The sequence below is a fragment of the Homo sapiens genome, chromosome 3 (assembly GCF_000001405.40).
Source record: "Homo sapiens chromosome 3, GRCh38.p14 Primary Assembly".
NCBI lineage: Eukaryota > Metazoa > Chordata > Mammalia > Primates > Hominidae > Homo > Homo sapiens.
In genome coordinates, this window is record NC_000003.12 from 76,241,404 (window position 1) to 76,266,536 (window position 25,133).

Genomic DNA, 25,133 nt, shown 5'->3' on the forward strand with positions numbered 1-25,133 from the left:
TGCTGGGTGCTGTTTTAGCGCAGAAGATATAGCAGAGAACAGAACGGAGGAAAATCCCTGTCCTTGTGGAGCTTATATACTTGTATGTTTGAAGTTTTAGAAAATAAGCTTCGTGACTGAAACTCTTGATTCAGAAAATTCTTGAGCTTTAGGTTCATGCTCAGTTATATTACTAAGTGAATAGAGTAGCCCATTTCACACCTTAGCCTTCAGATCCAAAGATGAAAAATATGTTTCTGCACAAAATGCTCAAATATATTCCTGAAACAAATGGTGTGTGATATAAAAGCTCATTTTCGGATTGTTGCTAATTGTGTCTCTTACATATACTTTTGCTTCATTCAGTGTGAACTTATAATAGTAAAAAATGATTATACATTTCCAGGAGGAAAAAATGTACTGTCTGAATGATAGGAAATGTAATGGTTATTCCTTGTGTAATGTTTTATCATTGGCTCCAATGGATTAGGACAATTTTCATGATGGAATTGTGAATAATTAAATATTCACACGTGAAGCAAAGTGAGAAGAGATTAGAATCCTATTTAAGGGATACTAGAACTGTCAGATACTATAAATAAAGTATGTTGAGTAGAAAGCAAGGAAAGTGCTGATTACCACTCTGAAATATTATCTTCATAGTCACTGAAATGTAATTTTTTTTCCCTAAATGACTGAAAACTTTGAGACATTCCTTTTTCCCCCTTTATTAAGCGGTCAAATAATGGATCTTGGTTAATGCATTTCCTTATTGCCAAATATAGCAATTACATTATGAAGCTGCTTTCTAAAGCAGTTGTTGTGCGGCCCTGTTCTAGCCAGTTACATTATGGATCTGTGCACTCTTGGCTACTAAAAACACAACTGCCCCCTTCTTCAGATACTCCTTGACCAAATGCGACTAGGAGGCATAGAGCTCTCCTTCACCCTATGGAGCGGGGCAGTCTCAGCTACTACCTTGTACTATTATAATATTAGATACAAAAGGCTGGCTTCTTTATGTCAAAGTAGGACTATTGTTGTGATACAGCTTAGACTTCAGAGCTTCCTGGTAGAATCAGGGAGAAGCTAGTCTCTAGCTGAAGGCCACATATTTGTTTAGCTTCTGTTTCTCTGCTCTGTCTTTCCTGTGCCCTTCATGTCCCTTCTCCTGAAAGCATGTTCCCAAATAAATCTCCGAAGCAAGAAATCCCACATCTAGGCAGGGCGTGGTGGCTCGGTCTTGCAATCCCAGCACTTTGGAAGGCTGCGGTGGGAGGATTGCTTGAGCCCTGGAATCGGAGATCAACCAGGGCAACATAGTGAGACCCTGTCTCTACAAAATATAAAAAATTGGCAAGACATGGTGGTGCATGCCTGTGGTCCCAGCTAGCTGGGAGGCTAAGGTGGGAAGGTCGCCTGAGCCCGGGAGTTGAAGCCGCAGTGACCCGTGATAGTGCCACTGCACTCCAGCCTGGGCCACAGAGCACAGGGAGATCCTGTCATGTCAACAACAACAAAACAACAACAAAACAACTGAATGAACAAAACAAACAAACAAATCCTGATCTAACACGTAACGTATTTATAGATGGAAGTAAGTTGCTGCATGGACGATTCCCCCGCTTCTAGGCCTTTACTGGCTCTTTAAATCTGTAAAAACGGCTAATCCCTGTAACAACTCACAAACAAAAGGCAATTCCAGGGGGTTTCTCATTCCTTTACTTTCCCATTTGCTGAGTCGCTTGATTAACCTTTTTCTCTCGGACTTCGGATGCCAGGTTGCAAAGTTGACTTTGGTATCCTCTCGCGGCCCCTTTAGCCCATTACATGTCACTTCTGATATTTTGAACCCTGTGCTGCAGCTTCCAGCTCCTTGAGCACTGCCGGTCCTTCTATTTTTCTTACCATTCTGCTGAGGATGCACCCTGTCCCCCAAAGCCCTGCCGTAACTCCCTCAGGGAATGGAGGGTGGGGACACGCAGGGGAGGGGGCAGTAAGGTCATGTGGTATTTTGTTTTGTCTTGGTAAAGTATAAGGAAAGAGAAAGCAAAGAGACACATCTCTCATTATCACTTATATTACAAAACAGTATAAATAAGCTAAAGAGAAAACACAGTAGTACCCAAAGGCCTGAGAAGCAGCCGGGAGTCTCTGGGAGAGACCCACTCTTAGAGCTTTAAGCTGGAGGGCTGAGGACGATAAAAACTGCAGGAGCTTAGGAAACCAACAGTAAAAACCATGAGAAGTAGCAGAAGACAGCACTTGCAGGCGTGATGCCTGCAGATAAGAAAAGTGCTCTTCACCATTTCCCCTGTCGTTTACCTCCCTGTAGCCAAGTTAATAATCTTATATCTGCCCTCAATATTTTTTTATTTCTTGGGGTAATTTATGCAGTGAACAAATATAATATTATCTTTTCCACTTATGGAGATTAAAAGCTCTTTAGTACTGAATACAATAAAATAGAAACCAACATTTTGTGTTTATTCATACAGTATAGTTCTTGTCTATTAGCAAAGTAGAGAACAATGTAAGTTTTTTTCTTTTTTTTTAATTTGGGAAGAAGGGAGCTTGGGGGAGGAGCTGGAGGACAAATTTGATTCTATTGTCAGAATATGGTTAACAGTAAATAGCAACTAATAATTATGTATTTACTGTGCCAGGCACTCTTGTAAGCATTTTACATGTCATATCTTATTGAATCTACATAGAAACAACCTAAGAAATGGATTATTATTCTTTTCTATTTTAGGAACAAGGCAACTGAAGTTTAGAGAGATTCAATGTACACAGCCTGTAAGAGGTAAAGCCAGCAATAGAACTTGAGAGACTGCTCAGATGTAGCAAAGGCTAGCCAGCTGTCCTGGACATCACTTCTTCCTTTGTCTTTGTAACATAAATTTTGGCTGGACCTAGGGGTGATGAAGTAATTTGGTGCTATGTCCCCTTTCTGGGTCCTGTGATTGACAGGAAGAAACAGGCACTCACTATCTTTCCAACCAACTTCCTGTTGCCTGGAAGGTGGACAGGAGGTTTGAACTGAATTACTTGTCTTGGATTATATGGTAGAAACCATTTATGTGGATGGCAATGGAGAAAAATCAATCAAGCCCCTAATAATTGTGGCATTACATTTCCAGTCCTGGGCAGTTCAGGCTTATAGATGATAAAAACACAAACTGCTATTTTGCTTGAGACATATTCTTTCACAACTTTTCTTGAAGCTGCCTAACTTACGGCCTAATTAATTCAGAGAAGCAGAATAACACATTAGAAGAAGTATTGGACTGGACGTCAGGAGCCTGGAAATCTAGACCTCGCACTGAGGCAAAAAGAAAAGTATGGTTGTAGACAAATTATGGGATAATGGGTAAAATGGGTGTGTTAGAATAGACAATACTGAAGGTCTTTTCTAATTACAAAATGCTATAAAAAATTCAAAATATGAATAAAAGTAACTATTCAGACCCCATCACTTAATACATTTGGAACTTTAATAGTCTGTGTCTTCGGTATCTAGATGTTAAGTGTCAGCCTAACATCATCCTTTTTATGGAATTCTTTACACAAAATAGGTTCTGTTTCAACAAAATAGAATATGTTTTGAAATTGGCTTACAAATTCACCGATGAAATTAAACAGTGTGTAAATATTGTCACTCATAATAAGGCATTTTCCTAAAAAACTCTGAATTTTCAATTTGCCTCTTTAAAATGGGAAAACAGAATCCATTACCAGAATATTTTTAATACTTAAATATTTCTCATGTCATTTGTAATCTAGACCTTACACAATTTCTTTCTATACTGAAAAATATCAATATTGACATAAGTATTTGTAATGCTTCAAATATGTGGGTTAAGTGGGAAGGTCGGCCAGAGCTTGAACCCTTTTGGGGCAGCGCCCAATACCTATTTTAGTCACTGCTGTGTTTTCTATGTGCAGCAATGTTCCTGGGAATATTGTAGAAATTCCATTTGTATTCATTGAATGAATGGATGGATGAATCTAACTACCTAATTGTGACAGATAATTAACATGAATTGTTGACAAAAATACCTACAGTGGAAGCTCTTTGGGAAAATGATCCTAAAATACAATACTCATTACATTATAAAAAATGAGTTTCTATTTAGTCATTCAAAAATAATTTTTAAAATAAATGATTTTGGTTTATCTTTCTCTTATTTGATGATTTTTTATTTCATATAATCATCAATCTTTAATCTTAATATTCTATTTTGTATCTTATACCATTTTGAATTTAAAATTTTTCTCTAGTCTCAAAGGGCTTGGGAATTCTTGCTAAGCATTACATCTTCTGCTCAATTTATCTATAATAAATTTTCTGAATTATTCTCTCTAGCCATTGCTCAGAATAAGAAATCCAAATATTTACTTTGCTCTGCTGAATGATACTTGCTCCCTGGGCACAGACAAGTCATACTTCAAAGGTCTGCTACTACTGCTGACTCCCCTTCATTCCAACAGCCACACTAAGTTGTTATATTCTGGAGAAGTTTTCTACCTTCTAAAGGAAAAGGAGAATTAGAATGACCCAAGAGCTTTTAATACCCACATTAAATAAAGAGAAGAAGCTGAATTTTATGAAAGGTACATATATATGCTTTTTGTTTTCCATGTGTGTTATGTATTACTCATTATATGTTAGCAACATGGAAGAGCCCATTGAAAATAACACACTTTCTAGGTGGTATGTGTATTTTGTTAGTGAAGAAGTTTTTTTTTTCCAAACCAGATTATTTTTTCAATGATCAGGAAATGGTGTGTTTGACTCCTATTTCCTGCATATCATCTCACAAGAGTAACTCTTTGAACAGCTCTGAAGCAGTAAATGAAATATTGACTGAGTTACTTGTCATTTAATTTGCAATGATTTCAGTGCTTTTCAAGTGCTAGGCAAGGCACAGGGTATAATTCAATTGTATCATTTCTTGTAATTTGAGGACGTAAGTCTACAGCTCAAAAGTTAACTGGAATGCAGAAAGGTTAATGGAGGTTTTGAAAACTAATTAGTAAATAAATGTCATGTCATGTCTGATTAGTTACTCAGCATTTTCTGGTTTACAACTTTTTCCTGCATTTTTGTTAAAATTCTGTATAAAATGTTTCATGAGTTTTTACGAACACTTTCTAATTATTAGTAGGTTTATGCATTTAAATAATATCAAGTCACGTTCAGGGAATAGGCCACCTTAGTATTATTCCCTAGAAGTTATAACAAACTTATTTTGTTACTGCTGTGCATAATTTTTCCCACCCAACTAGAAAAGGATTTATTTTGAGTGAGAATTTTAGGCATGCTGAATTCTAGACTAGAGCATCTAATTCTCTAATCAGTCTTAATTAAATTTTATGGGTAAGTTCTAATGACTGCTATGTTGACTCTATTTCTTTTTACAGAGATAAAGTATATAACTTTATTAGAATTGACTTGGTTTATCAGCCAAATCCTTCCTATCATTTATTGCAATTTGAACTTTGGAATTAGGAACACAGTTAAAATTGATGACCCTGGAAATTCTTATTTTTTCCATCTTAGTTGTAAATTATCAGGCCTGGAACACAACTGTAATGCTCAAGGGTGACCAGCAAATAGGTGTAAAAAATAGTTCTATATTATCAGAGACAGGCCATCAGGGCTACAAATTCTAGTTTCTGTTGTACTACCATGCCAGCTATTTGAAGAGAAACATCGTTTCCATACATCCATCTACACAGTTGTTCTTCAAGACATTTGGAATCACACTTTTCCATTCCTTGTTACTTAGACTTCTTACGTGTGTTCAATCTGTTACCATATCCTGTTGGATTTGACAGTAAAATCAATTGTGAGTTAGTGCCACTTCACTTTATTTTTATGGCCACTGCTCCAATCAAAAAGTCTCCATGGTATCTCCCCAGGATAACTTTAGCCTCTTCCCAAACCTCCCCACATGCATTCTTGATCTTCTAAAGTTCATTTTTCACCAAATAATTAGACTGCTATTGAAAACATAAATTAGATCACATTAGCTTTCCATTAAATATATTCAAAATTTTAACATTACATTTAGAATAAAATCCAAATTCTTTATTACTCTAACCCATTTTCTGAAAGTTGGCACCTGTCCTATCTATGCGCTATGACACATTGGGCTTCTTTTAGTTTCTTAAATAATAAGCAGGATTTTGTTGTTGTTGTTTGTTTGTTTTGAAACCTGAGGACCCACGCTGCTTCATTTGCTGACTGCTCTCTCTTCCTGATTTGATATGGTTTGGTCTTACTCATTCTTCAACTCGCATCTTAAATTTTAATTCCTTAAGAAATTCTTGAGAAAATTTTCGCAACCTACTCATCTGACAAAGGGCTAATATCCAGAATCTACAATGAACTCAAACAAATTTACAAGAAAAAAACAACCCCATCAAAAAGTGGGCGAAGGACATGAACAGACACTTCTCAAAAGAAGACATTTATGCAGCCAAAAAACACATGAAAAAATGCTCACCATCACTGGCCATCAGAGAAATGCAAATCAAAACCACAATGAGATACCATCTCACACCAGTTAGAATGGCAATCATTAAAAAGTCAGGAAACAACAGGTGCTGGAGAGGATGTGGAGAAACAGGAACACTTTTACACTGTTGGTGGGACTGTAAACTAGTTCAACCATTGTAGAAGTCAGTGTGGCGATTCCTCAGGGATCTAGAACAAGAAATACCATTTGACTCAGCCATCCCATTACTGGGTATATACCCAAAGGACTATAAATCATGCTGCTATAAAGACACATGCGCACGTATGTTTATTGCGGCATTATTCACAATAGCAAAGACTTGGAACCAACCCAAATGTCCACCAATGATAGACTGGATTAAGAAAATGTGGCACACATACATCATGGAATACTATGCAGCCATAAAAAATGATGAGTTCATGTCCTTTGTAGGGACATGGATGAAATTGGAAATCATCATTCTCAGTAAACTATCGCAAGAACAAAAAACCAAACACTGCATATTCTCACTCATAGGTGGGAATTGAACAATGAGATCACATGGACACAGGAAGGGGAATATCACACTCTGGGGACTGTGGTGGGGTCGGGGGAGGGGGGAGGGATAGCATTGGGAGATATACCTAATGCTAGATGACAAGTTAGTGGGTGCAGCACACCAGCATGGCACATGTATACATATGTAACTAACCTGCACAATGTGCACATGTACCCTAAAACTTGAAGTATAATAATAAAAGAAAAAAAACTTAAAAAAAAAAAAAGAAATTCTTCCAGACTTTCATAATCTAAAATGATCTTCCAACTATTCCACTCCTATTTTGTTTTGGATTAGTTGTCATGGCACTGATACATTTTGTCATAGTGTGTGCATTTGTTTACTTCCCTCTCTAAACCCTGTCATTTCACCAACCTCTAAACTCCATGAAAAGACCTATGCTGTTTAGTAAAGTCTAGCCTGCTTACCTGAGTCTCTGCTGTTTACCAAAGTCTGTGCTGTTTACGCTGGTACTAGCACAGATATGTGTTCAATCATCAAAATGTAAATTTTCTAACATGATTGACTGATTTTCTAAGACACACATGTATTTCGTGTTTTTTGGGAGACTAAAGGGATTTGAAGTGGAATGAAAAACTGGGAATTCTTTGGAATAATTGGTGATGTACATGTGCACATCTTTGATAAGGTCTTCGTTATTTTATAAGTAGTTAATAATTATACTTGAATTTGGTTGAACTTCGTGAAATATTAAGAGACAACTTGTTAATAAAGCAAAGCTAAATGAGTTAAAACTTAGTGTAGTAAGAAAGAACATCACCACCACACAGTACTAACAGTGCCTCAGAACTGGGAAGTCAAAATGGATATTTATACAGTTGGAGAGTCAGGACTTGAGCGGTTAAAACTGAGATTCTCAAGGCAGGCAACTGATTGGGAAGTTTATAATATAACAATCCAGGATTGGGAGATATAGCAAAGTAAAGATTTTAAATAAGAGAATTTTAATAAGTGAATTACTTATGATAACTCAACTATTTACCCAGGTGAGCCAGATTCTATCTTTAATAAATGGATCTGCAGGAACTGCCTAAAGCAGAAAGAAAAGTTATTATTATTTTGCAATCTTACTTTTCCCAGGCAAAACTTTTCTGTTGCAAGCAACTAAGTCATGTTTACACAGGTGATTTCAATGATTAGTGCTTTTAGCTATGCCATGTTTGATGAGCGTGGTCACAGTGTGTCTATGGAATAATAATACTTTACTGCAGAAAATTATTTGGCTATATTATTTGCAAGAAAGCCAAAAGACAGACAATTCCACAATGCGTTTAACTAACTGGAACAAATGGAATGAGAGAGAGGAATATTTGCAAAGATGGACTTTCCAATTTAGACCACCGTTTCTCAAAGGATATTTGAAGAATGTTGCTTCTAAGAAAGCTTCAAGATATTATTATAGAATCTGTCTTTACATACATTGGAAATCACTGAGTTAAATAATGTCAAACAGGTATTTCCCCCCTCTTCAAGGCATTTCAGAGTCTTTAATATGTTAAGGTATGTTGTAAGTTTCCAACAGTAAGATAAAGAAAATTTCCCATGTTTATTTAACTAAAGTACTCTTACATTGTGGAGGGTCTCCTGGGACCAATGAATAATGGAGGTCAGTTTATGAAATGCTGTTATCAGTTAACAAAATTATGTAATATCAAAATTGTATTCCTGCCAGCAGTGGTGCAGAAAAATATACAAAAACAAGCAAACAGAAAAGAAATTTTATAGTTACACTGCTTTTAGCTTCAAAACCAGGTGTGAATAAAAGTCTATAACCCAGAATATTAGAAATCACATATCGGAATGTAAATAATAGTTTACTGAGATTACTTGATGATCCTTTTGGGAACAAATAAAATAACCTAGTTTTGAGTAATGTTTTTATTTTGCATATTTATTGTATACTGAAATCAGATCTGTATCAACGACATTCCTTTTCATTAGAGAGCAAAAATCACACTGGGTGTGAATGAAAATTTCAAATCTATCATATTTTAGGGAAGTGTTGTCCGTGCATAAGTAGTTAATCGTTTTGCGTGTAGGAGAGTTTGGGTTGCCATATCTTTATAATAGTCTCCATGGAACCCATCTGACATGTGCTAGCACTGCCTTTCTTAAGGAGTATGGCCTTGAACAGTTTCATATCCCTGCGCTTCAGTTTACTCAAGGGTGAAATGAATGACGTAGGAATGCTCTGAGAATAAAATCTGTTGACATATCTGGTAAAGCACTCGAAACAATGCTTTGCAAATTTTAAGTACTAATAGTACTAAAAATGGAGAAAGGTTTTTAAAAAGTTTCTTTTAACTTCTACCCATTTTCTCTAATAAATTTTTATATTGTTTTCATTCTTTTCAGCATATTCCCCGAATCAAAGTCCATGATATTTCAAAACATCATATTGCATGTTATTTTCAAAACTTGACTCCAGGGGTAAAAAGTAAGCAACAACTTTTATTCTTATAATTCACCTGAATTATTAGAGCTGTGTAAATCCCAGAAACTATAAAGGTGATAAGATACTTATGCTTATAACCAGCTGCAGCCTTGGCCTTTCATAGCATATTCTTTCCTGACTGATTGTAGCTGGGCACAATATGATGACTGAAGAAACGCATTCTTATCAGTGGCACCCTTCCTACCCCTGCAGCCTTTTGATTAAGTTGCTGAGGTATAAACACCATCTATAATTGTATTCTTGTAACTGAAGATAGATGACCAAATTTGTCATCAGGGTGCAAGAGTTATTAACTGGACTTGTGCTCATAATTTCCAATGCCATATTAAAGAAGTAAAAAGAAAAAAAAAATCCACCTTCAGCTAGTTGCGGGAGGGTATGAAAGAGACGTGAAATGAAAGAGCCAGATGTCAGGAAAGAGATGAGTTGGTCTCCTTTGCCAGTGAACAGCTGTAGATCTAGGCAGGAAGAGGAGAAAAGAATACATTTATGCTCTGGATGAAATTAATATAAATCTACAGTTATATCCAGATGGTGTGATGTCACAATTTGGATTTTATAACACTTGGTTTGGTGGTAAAATGGTCAATTTCTGTACCGGATCATACTTGTAAATTCTCTAGCAAAGTGTCATATTTTTCATGTAAATACTTCCAAAACAAAACTTATTTTTAGCATCAACTATAGGAAAGAACTCATGAGCATCCTCTTTTGGAGTTGCTTATGTAACTGTTTTCTATAAGAACTGTGAAAGAAAAAGAAATTAAAAGAAACAGTCAAAGATGTAAATAAGGAACATTCAGTTAAGATGATTGAATTAGTTTGAAGCTAGGATAAAATCCTCAGTGGATGCTTCGAAATTTTGACTTGGGTTTAAAATGTGACTCCTTAAAGATGCTGTCAGGTGCAGATTTCTTTCATTAAGCAAATGTTTACTCGGTGTCATCAATATAGCAGGCACCATTATAGGCCCCAGTGAAATGGCTATGAACATCACAGAGATGAGGTTTTATAAGAAAGACAGAAAAATATCAAATAAAACAATGATATGTTGTTGCTAATGAGAAGCAAGTTACAGGTTTTGAGAGAGCCAGAGGACTGGGGCTTATGGTGGTTTTAAATAAAGTGATGAAATGTCACCCACAGGTAGACATTTGAGCAGAGACCAGAAGTAACTTAATAAGCAATTCATGAGGTATCAGCTATATTTTAATACCAAATTTAATCACTGAAAAAATACATGTGTTAAAGTGAGTTAACTGACCTCCATCACCATTTGTATAGTGAATATGAATGGTGGTGAGCAGGCTGGGATTATACAGATTGGTTTGGCCAATCTAAGCCTAACACTTGAACCAAGAGTGGGTTCATTTCCAAATGATCAACCAGACGTAATTGGTGCTATTCAATGTATTTGATGCTACTCAATGTATTTGACGTACTCAAACGTATTTGATGCTGCTCAATGAATGAAAGATGAAAGCATCTAGGGAGACAGCCACCACTGTTTATTAAAACTATTAGGGTGGTTTTAACATACTAGCAATATAAATATTTAGTTGATCAATGCTAGTTGCATTCGTCACAGTTCTCCAGAGAAACAATTCCAATATGGTATGTGTGTGCATATTTACATATGCACACACACATATATATGGCTGTGAACATTACAAAGATGATGTTTTATGTGAAAGACAGAAAAATATCAAATAAAAAAAGGTATGTTGTTGCTAATGAGAAGCATATATGTATATATACACAAATACCTATACAAATATGTGTATATATACACACACTCACATATATACATATATATAAAACGCATGTATATGTATACACACACACACACACACACACACACACACACACAGAGTTTTTTTGTTTTGCTTTGTTTTTTTTTGAAGGAATTCACTCACGGGATTGTGAAGACTGGCAAGTAGCCTCTAGGGGAGGCCTACAGGCTGGAAACTCGGGCAGCAGTTAGTGCTGTATTATTGAAGCAGAATTTTTCTTTCTTCTACAGGAAACTTTAGAATTTGCTGTTAAGGTTTTGAACTGATTTGACAAGGCCCCCCCACATTATCAAACATATTCTTAAAGTCAGCTGATTTTAGAGTTAGTCACATTTACAAGAGACCTTCACAGCAACACCTAGATCAATGTTTGATTAAATAACTGGTACTACAGTCTTACCAAGTTGACACATAATGCTATCACAGATCAGCCTCTTTTACAGATGCATGTGTGTTTATTAGAAATGTGTATCAATTTTAAAGACAGGTATGTTGTGTACATGTTGTGGCTAAATCTAATGTAATGAATAGTATCACTTTAAAAAGTTATGTTTATTTATTTATTTATTTACTTTTGAGACAGGGTTTTACTCTCACTCATGCTGGACTGCAGTGACATGACCACAGCTCACTGAAGTATTGACTCCCTAGGCTCAGGTGATTCCCCCACCTCAGCCTCCTGAGTAGCTGGTACTACAGGTGTGCATCACCATGCTTGGCTAGTTTTTAAAATTTCTTTTAGAGATCAGATCTTGCTATGTTGCTCAGGCTGGTCTTGAACACCTGGGCTCAAGCAATCCACCTGCTCGGTCTCTCAAGGTGTTGGGATTACAGACATGAGTCACCAAACCTGGCCCATGAGTAATATCTAAGATATTATCTAGTTGCCATAATTTACAGCCACTAAGAGTAATAATACTATCATGTGAGAGGAGAGAATAAAAATTCTGAAAAGAGCAACAAATAATTGTTTACAGAAAAAGGTAAGTATTAGCATATATAAGCATCACTATTATATGCTATTTTAATTGGAATAAGAAAATCAAGTGAGATAGCATATCCATTCCAGTAACTTAGAAATCTCTCTTGGTGTGAAAGACTACAAATTCATGTTGAGTAGGAAGTAGTTTGGATAAATTTCTAGTAAGTTACATGCTTCACTCTCAGGAGAACACTTATCTTGAAAGAAGAAAAATGGAAAAGAGTCAACAAATTTTTAGAAACCATAAGACAAATTATTGAAAGCAAAGTAGCATACTCTCAGATGTAATGTGATATGCTATGATAGCAATACATAAATCATTAATAGCAATCTATAGCTGTCTACAAAATAAAGTGGTAATTATACCAGTATATTCAAGAGATTCATCTTTAGTAGGAGTAGTTTTTTACTTTTGCAGATCTATATCTCTTTGGCTTTTTACTTTGGTTGCCAGGTTATGATTGTAGTGATATGAATTTGAGAAGCAAGATCTGGTAGACACTTTGATTTAGTATTTCTAAATATAAAAATGAAGTCAGCATATATTTTCTATTAGTGTATTATAAACTTTGCAGTTGAGTGACTATGAGGACCATCACATCCATAGATAAGACTATTAATTGTCACTAAATAATGTCTTAAGTGAGTAGGCAGCAAAAGCTATTTGATTTCTTGTTTATATGATCAACACACTCCACTAATAACTTTTTGTTCAAACTTCATATTTTTGTAAGACACAGAATTTTTCCAGCGTGTAAATGCAGAGTCAGTCAGAGACTTAGGGAACTGCTTACATGGTAGTTCTAGAGGAGTTACAAAATTAGATATGCACTTTATAAATATACTGTAAAAGTTAAATTAGAGAGACTGGAAGTCTAGAGTCAGAAATAACTGCAATAACGCTGTCAGCACAAAAGGTGACAGGTTGGAGAGGAAAGTATACCTGTGTTGATGCAACTATTTAGTGATACCTTTACTGTGGTGGTAGATACATGAACCCACGTATTAAAATTTTATAGACCTAAATACTCTCTCTCAGAGAGAGAGAGAGAGAGAGAACAAATAAAACTGAGGGAACATCAATAAGATCCGTGGACTGTTTCAACATCGATCAATATCCTGGTTGTAGTATTATATTATAATTTTGCAAATTATTACCATTGGAAGCAACTAAGTAAAATGTACCCAGGAGCTCACTGTATCCACTGTATTACTTCTTAAAACTATGCCTGTGAATCTATAATTATCTCAATAAACATTTCAATTAAAAAAAGAGAACTTGGTAATTGATGAACTATTGAAGCAAGATAAATGGAAAGTTTAGGCTGACACTCAGATGTAGGCTGACACTTTGGGCAAATGGAGATGCCATTCATTAGGATAAGAAGTTGGAGAGAGGATCAAATTTGAGAAAAGTCATTGTGCCTGTGGAGGCTGTCCATTGGTCAGTTAAATAAATAAATCGACCTGTAGCTAAAGGGAGAGGCTTCATCTGGTGATACAGGGCTTACGTTCATCAGAAAAAGTTAGTGTTTGCAGACATGAGAATGCATAAGATTGCCTGCTATTTATTGTTTTCTAATATTTTAGGGTTTTAGCCCTATCTGGAAGATAATGAAAATACAAACTATGAAAACTCATAGAGCTCAGAACAGTGACATAAAATATTGCTTTAGTATTCTTATTGAATCCCCCATTGTCCATAATAAGATTATCTGTGAAAGATGACACTTGCTCTGCTCTTTTTCGCCAAGAGCCTCTTGGGATGAGTTCTTTCTACAAAACTCAATCCTCAGGAACTGGTCTCCAAAATTGAGGGCTGAAAAATTTACATTGTAAACATTGATGCAGAATTTCTGAATTTAAAACATTTCTTTATAACTACTATTTTACTATGCAAAAAAAAAATTTGAGTATTTAAAGACCAAAGGAAGATGTAATTGAAAATAAACTATAATAATGAGAAATGGTTTATAGATTTAAATTTAAGAGTTCAATCGAAAATCACAGAGAATACTATTTTACTCTTTCTCTCGGTTTTATAAGATATTTAAAGATGCCTGTTGTATAGACAATTCTCATGCAGTTAAAAGCAACTTCCTGGAATAATAGTATTAATCACTTTCCCACGTTATTTAGGTTGAGATCAACAACAATAAAATGAATCAGTAGTAGATCTTATAAAAGGACACAATTAAAAAAAAACCACACTAAGCTTTTTGAATATGTACTGTAGTTAGCAAATATTTCAGATACTTTCTTATAGATATTTGTATCATATGGTATGAGTTGCTATTATATGAAAAAGACTTACCCTGAGCCAGGTGCAGTGGTTCACGCCTGTAACCCCAGCACTTTGAGGGATGAAGGTAGGAGGATCCCTTGAAGTCAGGAGTTCAAGATTAGCCTGGGCAACAAAGTGAGACCTCCTCTCTGATAAAAATGAAAAATAATAATAAAAAATGTCCAGGCATGTTGATGTACACTTGTAGTCCCAGCTGCTAGGGAGGCTGAGGCTGAAGGATTCCTTGAGCTCAGGAAGTCAGGGATGCAGTGAGCTGTGATTGTGCCACTGCACTGCAGCCTGGGTGACAGAGTGAGTCTCTCTCTCTCTCTCTCTCTCTCTCTCTCTCTCTCTCTCTCTCTCTCTCTCTCACATACACACACACACACACACACGCAAGGTATGGTTGAGTTCTCTAAGATTAAATTGTATTAATTAGTTAGGCCAGGTGCAATGGCTCACACCTGTAATCCCAGCACTTTGGGAGGCCAAGGAAGATGGATCACTGGAGCCCAGAAATTCCAGACCAGCCTGGGCAATATGGCGAAATCCTGTCTCTACAAAAAATAAAAGCAAAAATTAGTCAGGCTTGATGATAGTGGTCTGTAGTTCTAGCTACTAGGGAGGCTGAGGTGGGAGGACCACTAGATCCCAGGATGCTGAGGCTGCAGTGAACCATGATCATGCCACTGTACTCCAGGTTGGGTGACATAGTAAAGTTAACTTTTGTGTTAGGCCACTCTTGCATTGCTATAAAGAAACACCCGAGACTGGGTAATTTATAAGAAAAAGAGATTTAATTGGCTCATGGTTCTGCAGGCTTCATAGGAAGCATGGCCCTGACATCTGCTCAGCTTCTAGAAAGACCTCAGGGAGCTTTTACTCATGGCAGAAGTCCAAGGGAGCACAGGCATCTCACATGGTAAGAAGGGGAGCAAGAGAGAGAGTGGGGCGGGGAGGGACCACACACATAAAACAAGCAGATATCTCAAGAACTCACTCACTACCGAGAGGACAGCATGAAGTCATGAGAGATCTGTCCCCACGACCCAAGCCCCTCGGCCCAGCCCCCACCTCTAACATTAGGGATTACAACTCATAACATTAGGGATTACAGCTCACAACATTAGGGATTACAACTCATAACATTAGGCATTATAACTCACAACATTAGGGATTACAACTCAACATGAGACTTGGCCAGAATATACAATGAAACTGTATCAGTTTGTTAACCAAAATATGCAATTGATCAGAATACCTTTAATTCCTTCTTAAATCAAAGTTTCTTCTATGTGTGCACACACGTGCATATGTGTGTGTGTGTGTGAACACCTCATAAAATTTAGAAATAACTTATATGTATTCTTATGATGGTCATTTCTTAGGTTTATTTTCTATAATATCTACTTGGCCCTAAACTTTGTGCCAAGGAGACAGAGATATAAATGCATTGACTAAATAGAGAATAAGAGAATGGCAGGCACATTATTATATGATGTTTACCTAATTGATTCTCCCAAATTGTGAGGATTCCAAGGAAATTGCCACCAAATGCATAGTTATTTCTGTACTCTCCATATTGTATGTGCTGATCGCTATTGTATAGTGTATTTCATAGTGCACAATTCCTTTCTCTCACTGCATACAGTTATTTCTGTACTCTCCATATTATATGTGCTGATCGCTATTGTATAGTGTATTTCATAGTGCACAATTCCTTTCTCTCACTGCATACAGTTATTTCTGTACTCTCCATATTGTATGTGCTGATCGCTATTGTATAGTGTATTTCATAGTGCACAATTCCTTTCTCTCACTTATTATATCAGTGCATCCTCCATATGTTCATAAGTCATCAAATAAAGGGTTATGGGGTGGGGGAAAGATAGAACAATGTGTTTGAAAGAAATTTTTCATTTTAAATTTATGCCTGTGCCATTGGAAAACAGACAAAAACGCTTCACATATTTCAGCACTTGGTATATTTTATTGAGTCTCTTGAAAATTTTTTGGAAAGTCATATTTTCTGTTTTTTTCTCTCATCATCCACTAATCTGTTAGCCTAGAGAAACTCAGATTTACACCCTTTTAGTTTTTTTTATCCTAACATACAACTACAGCAAAAGTTGCCTCTTCTTTTGTATTAAGCGTCTTATCAAAACTAAACACTTTTTTTTTCCAACATAAAAGTTTCTCCATTTTATGGTGTCTTTGTAAGATATATGCATGATTTTGATTTGAATCAATTTTAATATTCTTTAATCTGTATATTTGATATTTGATGTTCACATTAATGCTTATTCTAAGTTCTTATTTTTTCTGCATCACTAATCCTCAATAGCAATACATTTTTATCCAACTTTATATTAAAAGGTAACTGTTTTAAAGAAATTTCAGTTTCAGAAAGCAAAGCAATCTTACATTCTTACATTTTAAAAATCAATGTAAATGTGACATTTACCGAGTACCAGCACATTATTTAAACTTTTACGTAACTTATAATACTTTATAAAAGTCACCTTAACAAAAGAAAATATTGTTAAGAATCACAAATGTGAAATATAGCTATCTGTGGTTATTCATAATGTTATTTGTAAATATCTGGTTTCTTTCATGGTTCTGTTGTTATTGTATCTAATTTTACTCTGTTCATTGATCATTTCTTCATCTCCTTTTTTAAATTTTCAGATATTTTTCTAAAATGTGTAGCTTATTTTAGTTCTCTTGTTTGATTCGTCTTCCTCACCACAGATTATTCTCAACATATAACTGAATATAGTCTCAAAAAATTATTTTTCTAAACAGCTCTACCTAATTCAGATGACCTGCTTTAATTTATTTCTCCCTTATTTTTTTCTACTAATAGATGTTTGACTGTAATTGAGTGTAAGCTATAATGTAGGCTTGGAATTTTTCAGCAATGACTATTGTTTCCTTTATTTTGGAGAGAAAAGTCATCACATTTTATCAACTTTTCTTGGCCCCAATGGTTATCATTTAGTTAAAAAGACTAGGAACATCATTTCAGACACATTTATTTCTCTGTTGACTAAGACTGAGTATTATTTTTGTAAAAGTTAAATAGTTCTTATTTTAGACACAGTTAGGGTGACCTAATCTCACTATGCTTTGTTTTTTAGGCTGCTGGTGTTTTTTGTTTTGTTTTGTTTTGTTTTGCTTTTTGTTTTTTAAATATATTCTTATTTCAGGAAAAATAGGAGAGAAAGTATGACATCAGATCCAACTAAAAGAACTTGGGATCAGAAATTACAGTAAATTAAATCTAATCTCCACCTCCTCATCAATGTTAGTCATTAACAATTTATTTAATTCTCTACACTTAGTTCCTTATTTATGAAGTGTAAAGTTTATTCACTGCATGCTTCTGGGCAGATACAAGACTAAAGAAATAAGATGGGGGACCAGTTACAGAAAGCTCACAAATGTTTATTCAAATCCAAATACTTATTTGGATTTATCTGTTTGAGAGTCAGTTCTATATAGATTCTCATGTGTCCATACATCTTGTAAGCAGAGGCCCTGGTGACAATTGCTATAGACTACATTTTTAAGACAGACTGCCTAGAAAGTTAGAGATAGTGTTTTCCTCCTGAACAGAAGAAGTACATTTGTTTACTGTTCAGTATAGTAAAGATAATGTCCCTCTCTGAGACAAATGTAGAGAAGCTTTGCTTTCAGTCCTTATAAGAAGTGGTGGTTTCCTAAGCTTTGGGCTCCTTAGCTGTGATGCAGATTCACTGTGCGCAAGGCATCCCCCTGGGCCCATGTTCACACCTCCTCCCACGTGACTTGGTCAACAAGAAAGACCCGAGTGAACAGGAAGCTTATGCTGCCTGCTAAACCTGGGTAATAACATCCCTTGTTTCTGACCCAGGAGTCTTGTGTCTGCTGGCAGCATCAGTGAATCTGTCAGGCTAACTTACAAACTCATAAGCAGGGTAAAACCTAGACTTTTCATAGTTTATGACAATCTGGTATGAAATTGAAATGGTAGACAATAGAGATCTTTATTGATAAAAATAAATGACAAGGTTATTCTGGATTCCTAAAAAAGTCCAGACCTAGACAACACATTTGTCAGTTTTTATGTAAAGCTGAAACCATAGAAAGTATCACCCTGCAGAAAAGTGCAATGCTGGTCCAGGTGAGGAGCAAGGATAAGTGTATGCGGAATCCCAGTGCTGATATGCGAGAGCCACATGAACTTGTGGATGGTTCTAGAGAGATGCAGTCACTTTAGTAAATGCAAAAGGTGAACATTTACTCTAATTTATATAAATCCCATAGGGCTGATGTTGTTTAGTATGGGAGGTAATGACCATGGAAGTAGAAAAGAAAATAATAAAAACTCATATTCTAGAAGTCAAAGGAGAAAAAAAGTTCTCTACAATGATCGGTGATATTACCAACATCTACAGAGGTCAAATTTGAGGAAGACTAAAAATACATCTTTGCTTTGATTAATATGTGGAAATTGGAAATATTTCAAGATCATTTTCATTTTCATTTCAAGATCATTTCATTTGATCATATTTCAAGATCATTCATACCCTCATTGGTGAGGGTATGAATCCAAATAGAATGGATTAAAAAACCGATAGTGTCAAATATATGTTTCTTAAAGATAAAATCAGGATTTATACAAATATAAAACAGACCTATATCAAAGTTTTTATTTAATTCATTAATTAATGAATGAACCAGTAAGAGAGCACAGTTAGTTCAAAAACAATTTCAAAGGATCGCACAATAATGCTGAAATGAATTTACCATCACACACAATTTGCATTTTTGTTAGTGTTCTACATCTTACAGAATTATGAAGTAGCTCAAAAACAGTGAAAGATAGCAATAAACCTGAATGGTCCACTAGAAAGAATCTCATACTATTTTTTTCCTGTTTCCAATTTTTTCCCACAATTTTCATAAAATAGGATATAAGGAAATATTGAAAGTGAGGGTAGAAAAAATGTAGGGCTTCAAGACTAATTTTTGCAACGTACTGTAGTAAGAAAGATACTGAAATGGGAGTTGGGGAAGGAACAACTAGATAATTGTATGATTTTGAGATTTAATTCAACTTTCAGTCTGAATTTCTTAACTACAAGGGGAGTTTCAACAGAACCTTAGTTGTGCTCAAATTTTTCTTTTAAACTAAATTATGTGTGTGTGTGTGTGTGTGTGTGTGTGTGTGTGTATATATATATATAAATGACAGCTTCCTATGAATTCTAATATAAAGAGAGCTCTTCTGTTTGAAGTGGTGGAAGAGAACCTAGGGTACCCTTCCTTCTTTACCTGGAGAGTCTTTACCTGGAGACTCTTTACCTGGAGAGTCTTGTGTCAGTTTTCAGAACCAAAATTTTAATTTCTTATATGATTTTAAGGGTGGCACAAATTTTTCTCCTTCAGATAATACTATGTGCCATTTTTTTGGGGGGGAACTATACTTGCTCTCAGAGTTTAAAGTTATGTTCACAATTTGGATTTAATATACAATTATGTTATTTTGTTGTATAACCAACACCCCATCTCCAACATGCCCAAGTTGACTCTAAGGGATGAAATACAATTTAAAATCTATTTAATCATATGTAAATTAAATTAATGAAAAAATTTAGCATAAAAGAATATAAATAAGTCTAAAATTATTTTAATTGTACTATTTGGTGCTATATTAAATAAGCCCTCTCCTCATCGTAGAAAAAATACTGTGTGCATTTTTTTAGTAGATTGTATGTATTAGAATGTATTTTTCATGCATGATATACTTGATATATTCTATTTGAAATAGCAATTCCTGGTATACTATTTATATTTCATAGTAGGTAGTACTTGAGAAAGACCATCATATAATTGGTGAAGAAAATGATATGAAAGTATTTTATAGAACAGGTAGCTTTCTTTTAGATCCACATTATATACGATTTTTGGAGGAGATGTATAGCATGGCTCATTGAAATACAAAGATACTTTTAGAAATTATTTTTATTTAATTGTCTTTATGCAGAGCATGCTTGTTGTCACATTTAGAAGCCTGTCACGTGGTGGAAGGTGAATTGTCACATTGTTCTAATCAACAGAGCTATGCCAATACATTTTCTACTTCAGTCTCTCTTACCTTTGCATATACGTCTCCTACGTTGCCTTATATTTTATACTTCAGTAAACTAGACAATTGTATTTAAAAGCTAAATCCAGAACATTTAATACTTATTAAATATTATAATGTAGTTAGTATGAAAGAATATGAGTATTTGGTGACTTACATAAAATTTAACGAGCTTTGCTTTTTTTTTTCCCCATCAATTCATTTACTAGGTGATTTTACTCTGAGATAATGCCAAAAGGTAGATGACACATTACAAAATTTGAATTTCCATGCACTGTCTGCTTTTTCAAAGGACAGAGGTAAAGTTTTTCTGGACCAAGAACACAGCAAAAGTACATAAAATGGAAAAGGTTGTTTTCATTGACTTTGACACAGCTGAGTTTCTGGCTTTGGTAGAACCTTGGGTCTTATTTTTCTGGACTGCTCCTTTACTCTCCATTTTGTTACCTTTGGTCCCCCTACTTATATACTTGGGGTTGTCCCTAAAGCTGGATGTCAGCTTTTCTAATCTCCCACATGTAATATTTGAAAAAGTTAAACTTATTGCAGACAAATTGGGAAAAAGTATATTCCCTGATAGTCTTCAAGAATCTCAGGCTCTAAAAACGTATTACAAACTCAGATGTTTCCAGGGGTCATAAAAGGTAACAGAAATGTAACCAGATCAAGTTTAAGAAACAATAGAGAATAATCAGGACTTTGGGCTAACTACAGAGCAATTATGCTTGGTAGGGCACAGCTACTGCATACTTCTACCAAATTGGTTCCAAATCTTCTAAAAATTTAAAAAGTTGGAAATTCAAGTTTTTATATAAAATCTCTTGGCTGTTAAATATTGGCAACTACTTTAGAGCAGCAGCAACCACATCACACAAGCTATCTCTGCTTGCCAAACTCAACATGCCATCAGTACCAGATAGGATTGATAGACCCAAGAAATCTCCCGAATATTGTATTTCAATCATCCATGTAGCCACATTCCTAGCCCTCAGTAAGCATTGTTCTCCTGGTTACTACTTAACTGTAATACTAAAGTGCTTGCTTCTCCTCTTTCTAAATAAATTTCACACAGTTGCAAAAATCACCAACAAGCACCGTTGAATCATGGTACAATAGTCCTTTTTTTTGGGGAAGGGTCTTGCTCTGTCACTCAGGCTGGAATGGTGCAGTGGCATGATCCTGGGTCACTGCAGCTTGGAACTCCTGGGCTCAGGCGATGCACCTTTGCCTCGCAAATAGCTGTGACTACAGGCATGCACTACCATACCTAGCTAATTAAAAAAATGTAGGTACAGAGTCTTGCTGTGTCGCCTAGGCTGATCTCAAACTTCTGGACTCAAGGAATCCTCCTGCCTTGACCTCCCAAAGTGCTGGGATTACAGGTGTGAGCCACCCTGCTTGGCCCAGCACAATATTTCTTAGCCTACAGTGATAACCAATTTGAGGAGGCCTACTGAATTGGAATTCAAAAGATCTAGGTTTCATGATTTTGAACAAGTAATGAAAACTTTAATGAAATAAGTTCCACTTTACAGGTTTATTGCAATGACAAAATGGGACAATTCATGATAAAGCACTGACCCAGCCATCCCATTAGTGGGTATATACCCAAAGGATTATAAATCATTCTACTGTAAAGATACATGCACGTGTATGTTTATTGCAGCACTATTTACAACAGCAAAGACTTGGAACCAACCCAAATGACCATCAGTGATAAACTGGATAAAGAAAATGTGGCACATACACACCATGGAATACTATGCAGCCATAAAAAAGAATGAGTTCATGTCCTTTGAAAGGACATGGATGAAGCTGGAAACCATCATTGTCAGCAAACTAACATAGGAACAGAAAACCAAACTCCACATGTTCTCACTCATAAGTGGCAGCTGAACAATGAGAACACATGGACACAGGGAGAGGAATATCACACTCCTGGGCCTTTCAGGGAGTGAGGAGCCAGAGGAGGGAGAGCATTAGGAAAAATATCTAATGCATGTGGGACTTAAAACCTAGATGACAGGTTGATGGGTGCAGCAAACCACCATGGCACATGTGTACCTATGTAACAAACCTTCACGTTCTGCACTTGTATCTCAGAACTGAAAGTGAAATTAAAAAAAAATAAAGAACTAAAATATTAGTTACGCCATAATTACAAAGTAATATTACCCAACAGTGACTTTTCAATATTTGGGTATTGTCTCTAGTTTTTTTTTTTTCCCCCTTGGTGGCCTTCTAGACTTCCATAACACAATAAAACTTAACATCCATGCACCTTTCCTCGTTATTATAGCTCCTACTTTATAGTACATTTTCTTGCCTGGAAAACATAACATGAATCCATTAAAATGTATGTCTCTCGCTTTCTTAAATAATTAAAATTATGATATATAAGGTTCCTTTCCGATGAAATGGATGCAGTTAGACTTTTTGTCTAAGCCCTCTTCTGGTTTCTTTCATTGTCACAACTTGATGAAATAGTTACAGATTCATAGTGGTCAAAAGTACCAGAAAAATCACTTGATTCAATTTTTTCACTTTCAGAGGTTCAAACTGAAACCTAAAGATGATATTTTACTGGTTTGAGGTTTTAGGGTGACATAAGATCAGCTCTGGAATAGATTTTAATGCTCTTGTCCCTGTGTAGTAGTAGCCCATACTACTCTTCTCAGGGCCTCAGGAATGATTAAAGTGGCTTTTACTTTACATGAGAACTCTGATCTCTCCATTTAAAATCCAGAAAGCTGGCCACATTTGTTGCCACCTCACTTGCCTTACAAAATGATACTTAATGTCTTCTCTATATACTTTCCTCCCCATGCAGTTTTTTTCCATAAACTTCATTACTCCAGGGGAGAAAATACCACCTTGTGTTGAAACACTAGGCACATTTGCTATCTAAAGAAAATAAACGATTTTCAAAATTGTATTTTCTAGCCAGTTGTTATGGCCTTACATCTGAGCCCTCCTGCTGTTAAGAGGCATCCTCATCTCCCACGCAGGCTGAAGCCTGGAGGCACGTGAGTCCCTGGGTCCTTTTTCTGCTTCAGAGCCTTTGCTTGATCCATGTCCCTCAGTCAGTCCTCTTCACCAACATTCTGCCTGCGAAAGACTATATTCTCCTTTAGGATCTAATACAAAACACTCATCTTCGTCTAGGTGTCCTCAGCCTTTCCTAATCGATCTACTTCATGTTGATCTGTTTTAATATTAACTTGTGATAATATATTTGTTTCTGTTGAACTGTAGTATATTTTATAAAAGTATCTTCAACTAGACTTAAGTTATTCACAGGCTTGAGACATTTATTAATTTAAACAACTATGATAGTAATAAGAGCTTCCTTCTCTTGTCACCACTACATGAAATAGTTATAAATTCATAGCAGTAGACGGTGTCAGAAAAATCACTCAACTCAATTTCTTCACCTTCAGAGGTGAAAACTGAAAATGTTTTTGTATTGTAAACCTTTCATATTTTGAGCACCTGCAAAGTGTTATATTAGCTCCTGTAAGCATTACAGTAAGTTCGTGAGATGGATACTATTATGATTCCCATTATACAGAAAGGAAAATGAAGACTCTGAGCTCACAGTTACACAGGAAAGAAGGGTCAGAACCAGAGGTTGAACAAAGCAGTGCCAAAAGAAATGCTATTTGCATAAAAGAATTTAATACATCTTTAACAGAAACAGTGAACAGATTTGTCTGTTCAAGTTCTTTAACTTATATGATTTTCTGTTTCATCACTTTAAAAGTAACAAGGAAAGAGCCTTAGAAAGGGTAGGTGAGTTTATGAAATGATCAAACTCAGGGTAAGTAAGCTCTTCAATAGGAAACTCTTCAAGAATATAATTTTACCTTTTCAATGAGAAAACTAAATATAAGATGCTGGAAATTGAAGGTTTTCAACTAAAAGGATAAAATGTGAAGGAAATACAGAAGGATGTTGAATTTTGTCAAATTGCCTTTTCTGCTTTTATTGAGACATTTACATTTTTTGTCCTTCATTTTCTCAATGTGATATATCACATTTATTGATTTGCATATGCTGAACTATTCCTGCATCCCAGCGATAAATCCCACTTCATCATGGTGCATGATCCTTTTAATGTAAATGCAATTTTTAAAGGATTATTTTACAGAAAATAGAGAAAGAGAATATAGAAAACTTTTTAAAATCAAGGGTTGACAAATTATTATCCATTGACCAAATTATGCCCCTTGCCTGTTACTGTAAGGTTATTTTAGCACAAAGCCACTTCCACTAATTTACATATTATCTATAACTACTCTCACATCACACAGGGCATAGTAAAGTATCTGCCCTTTCATAAAAAGTTTGCTGCCTCTGTTCTAAATCAGAGAAGTTTTGTAACTTACGTGTTCTCTCTCTGTATGCAACATTAAATA

General features: G+C 35.5%; 1 protein-coding gene across 9 annotated transcripts in view, besides 1 other annotated feature; it reads left to right on the forward strand.

The window, feature by feature from the left end:
* ROBO2 (roundabout guidance receptor 2) overlaps positions 1–25,133 on the forward strand; it is a 1,743,290-nt gene that overhangs the window by 334,729 nt on the left and 1,383,428 nt on the right. The window lies entirely within an intron of this gene.
* Positions 1,389–1,896: an enhancer, noted in NCBI's record as "NANOG-H3K27ac hESC enhancer chr3:76291943-76292450 (GRCh37/hg19 assembly coordinates)". NCBI's record gives its function as "activates a minimal SCP1, AML or CMV promoter by ChIP-STARR-seq in primed H9 embryonic stem cells {active_cell/tissue: H9 hESC(primed)}" and the evidence as "EXISTENCE:reporter gene assay evidence [ECO:0000049][PMID:30033119]".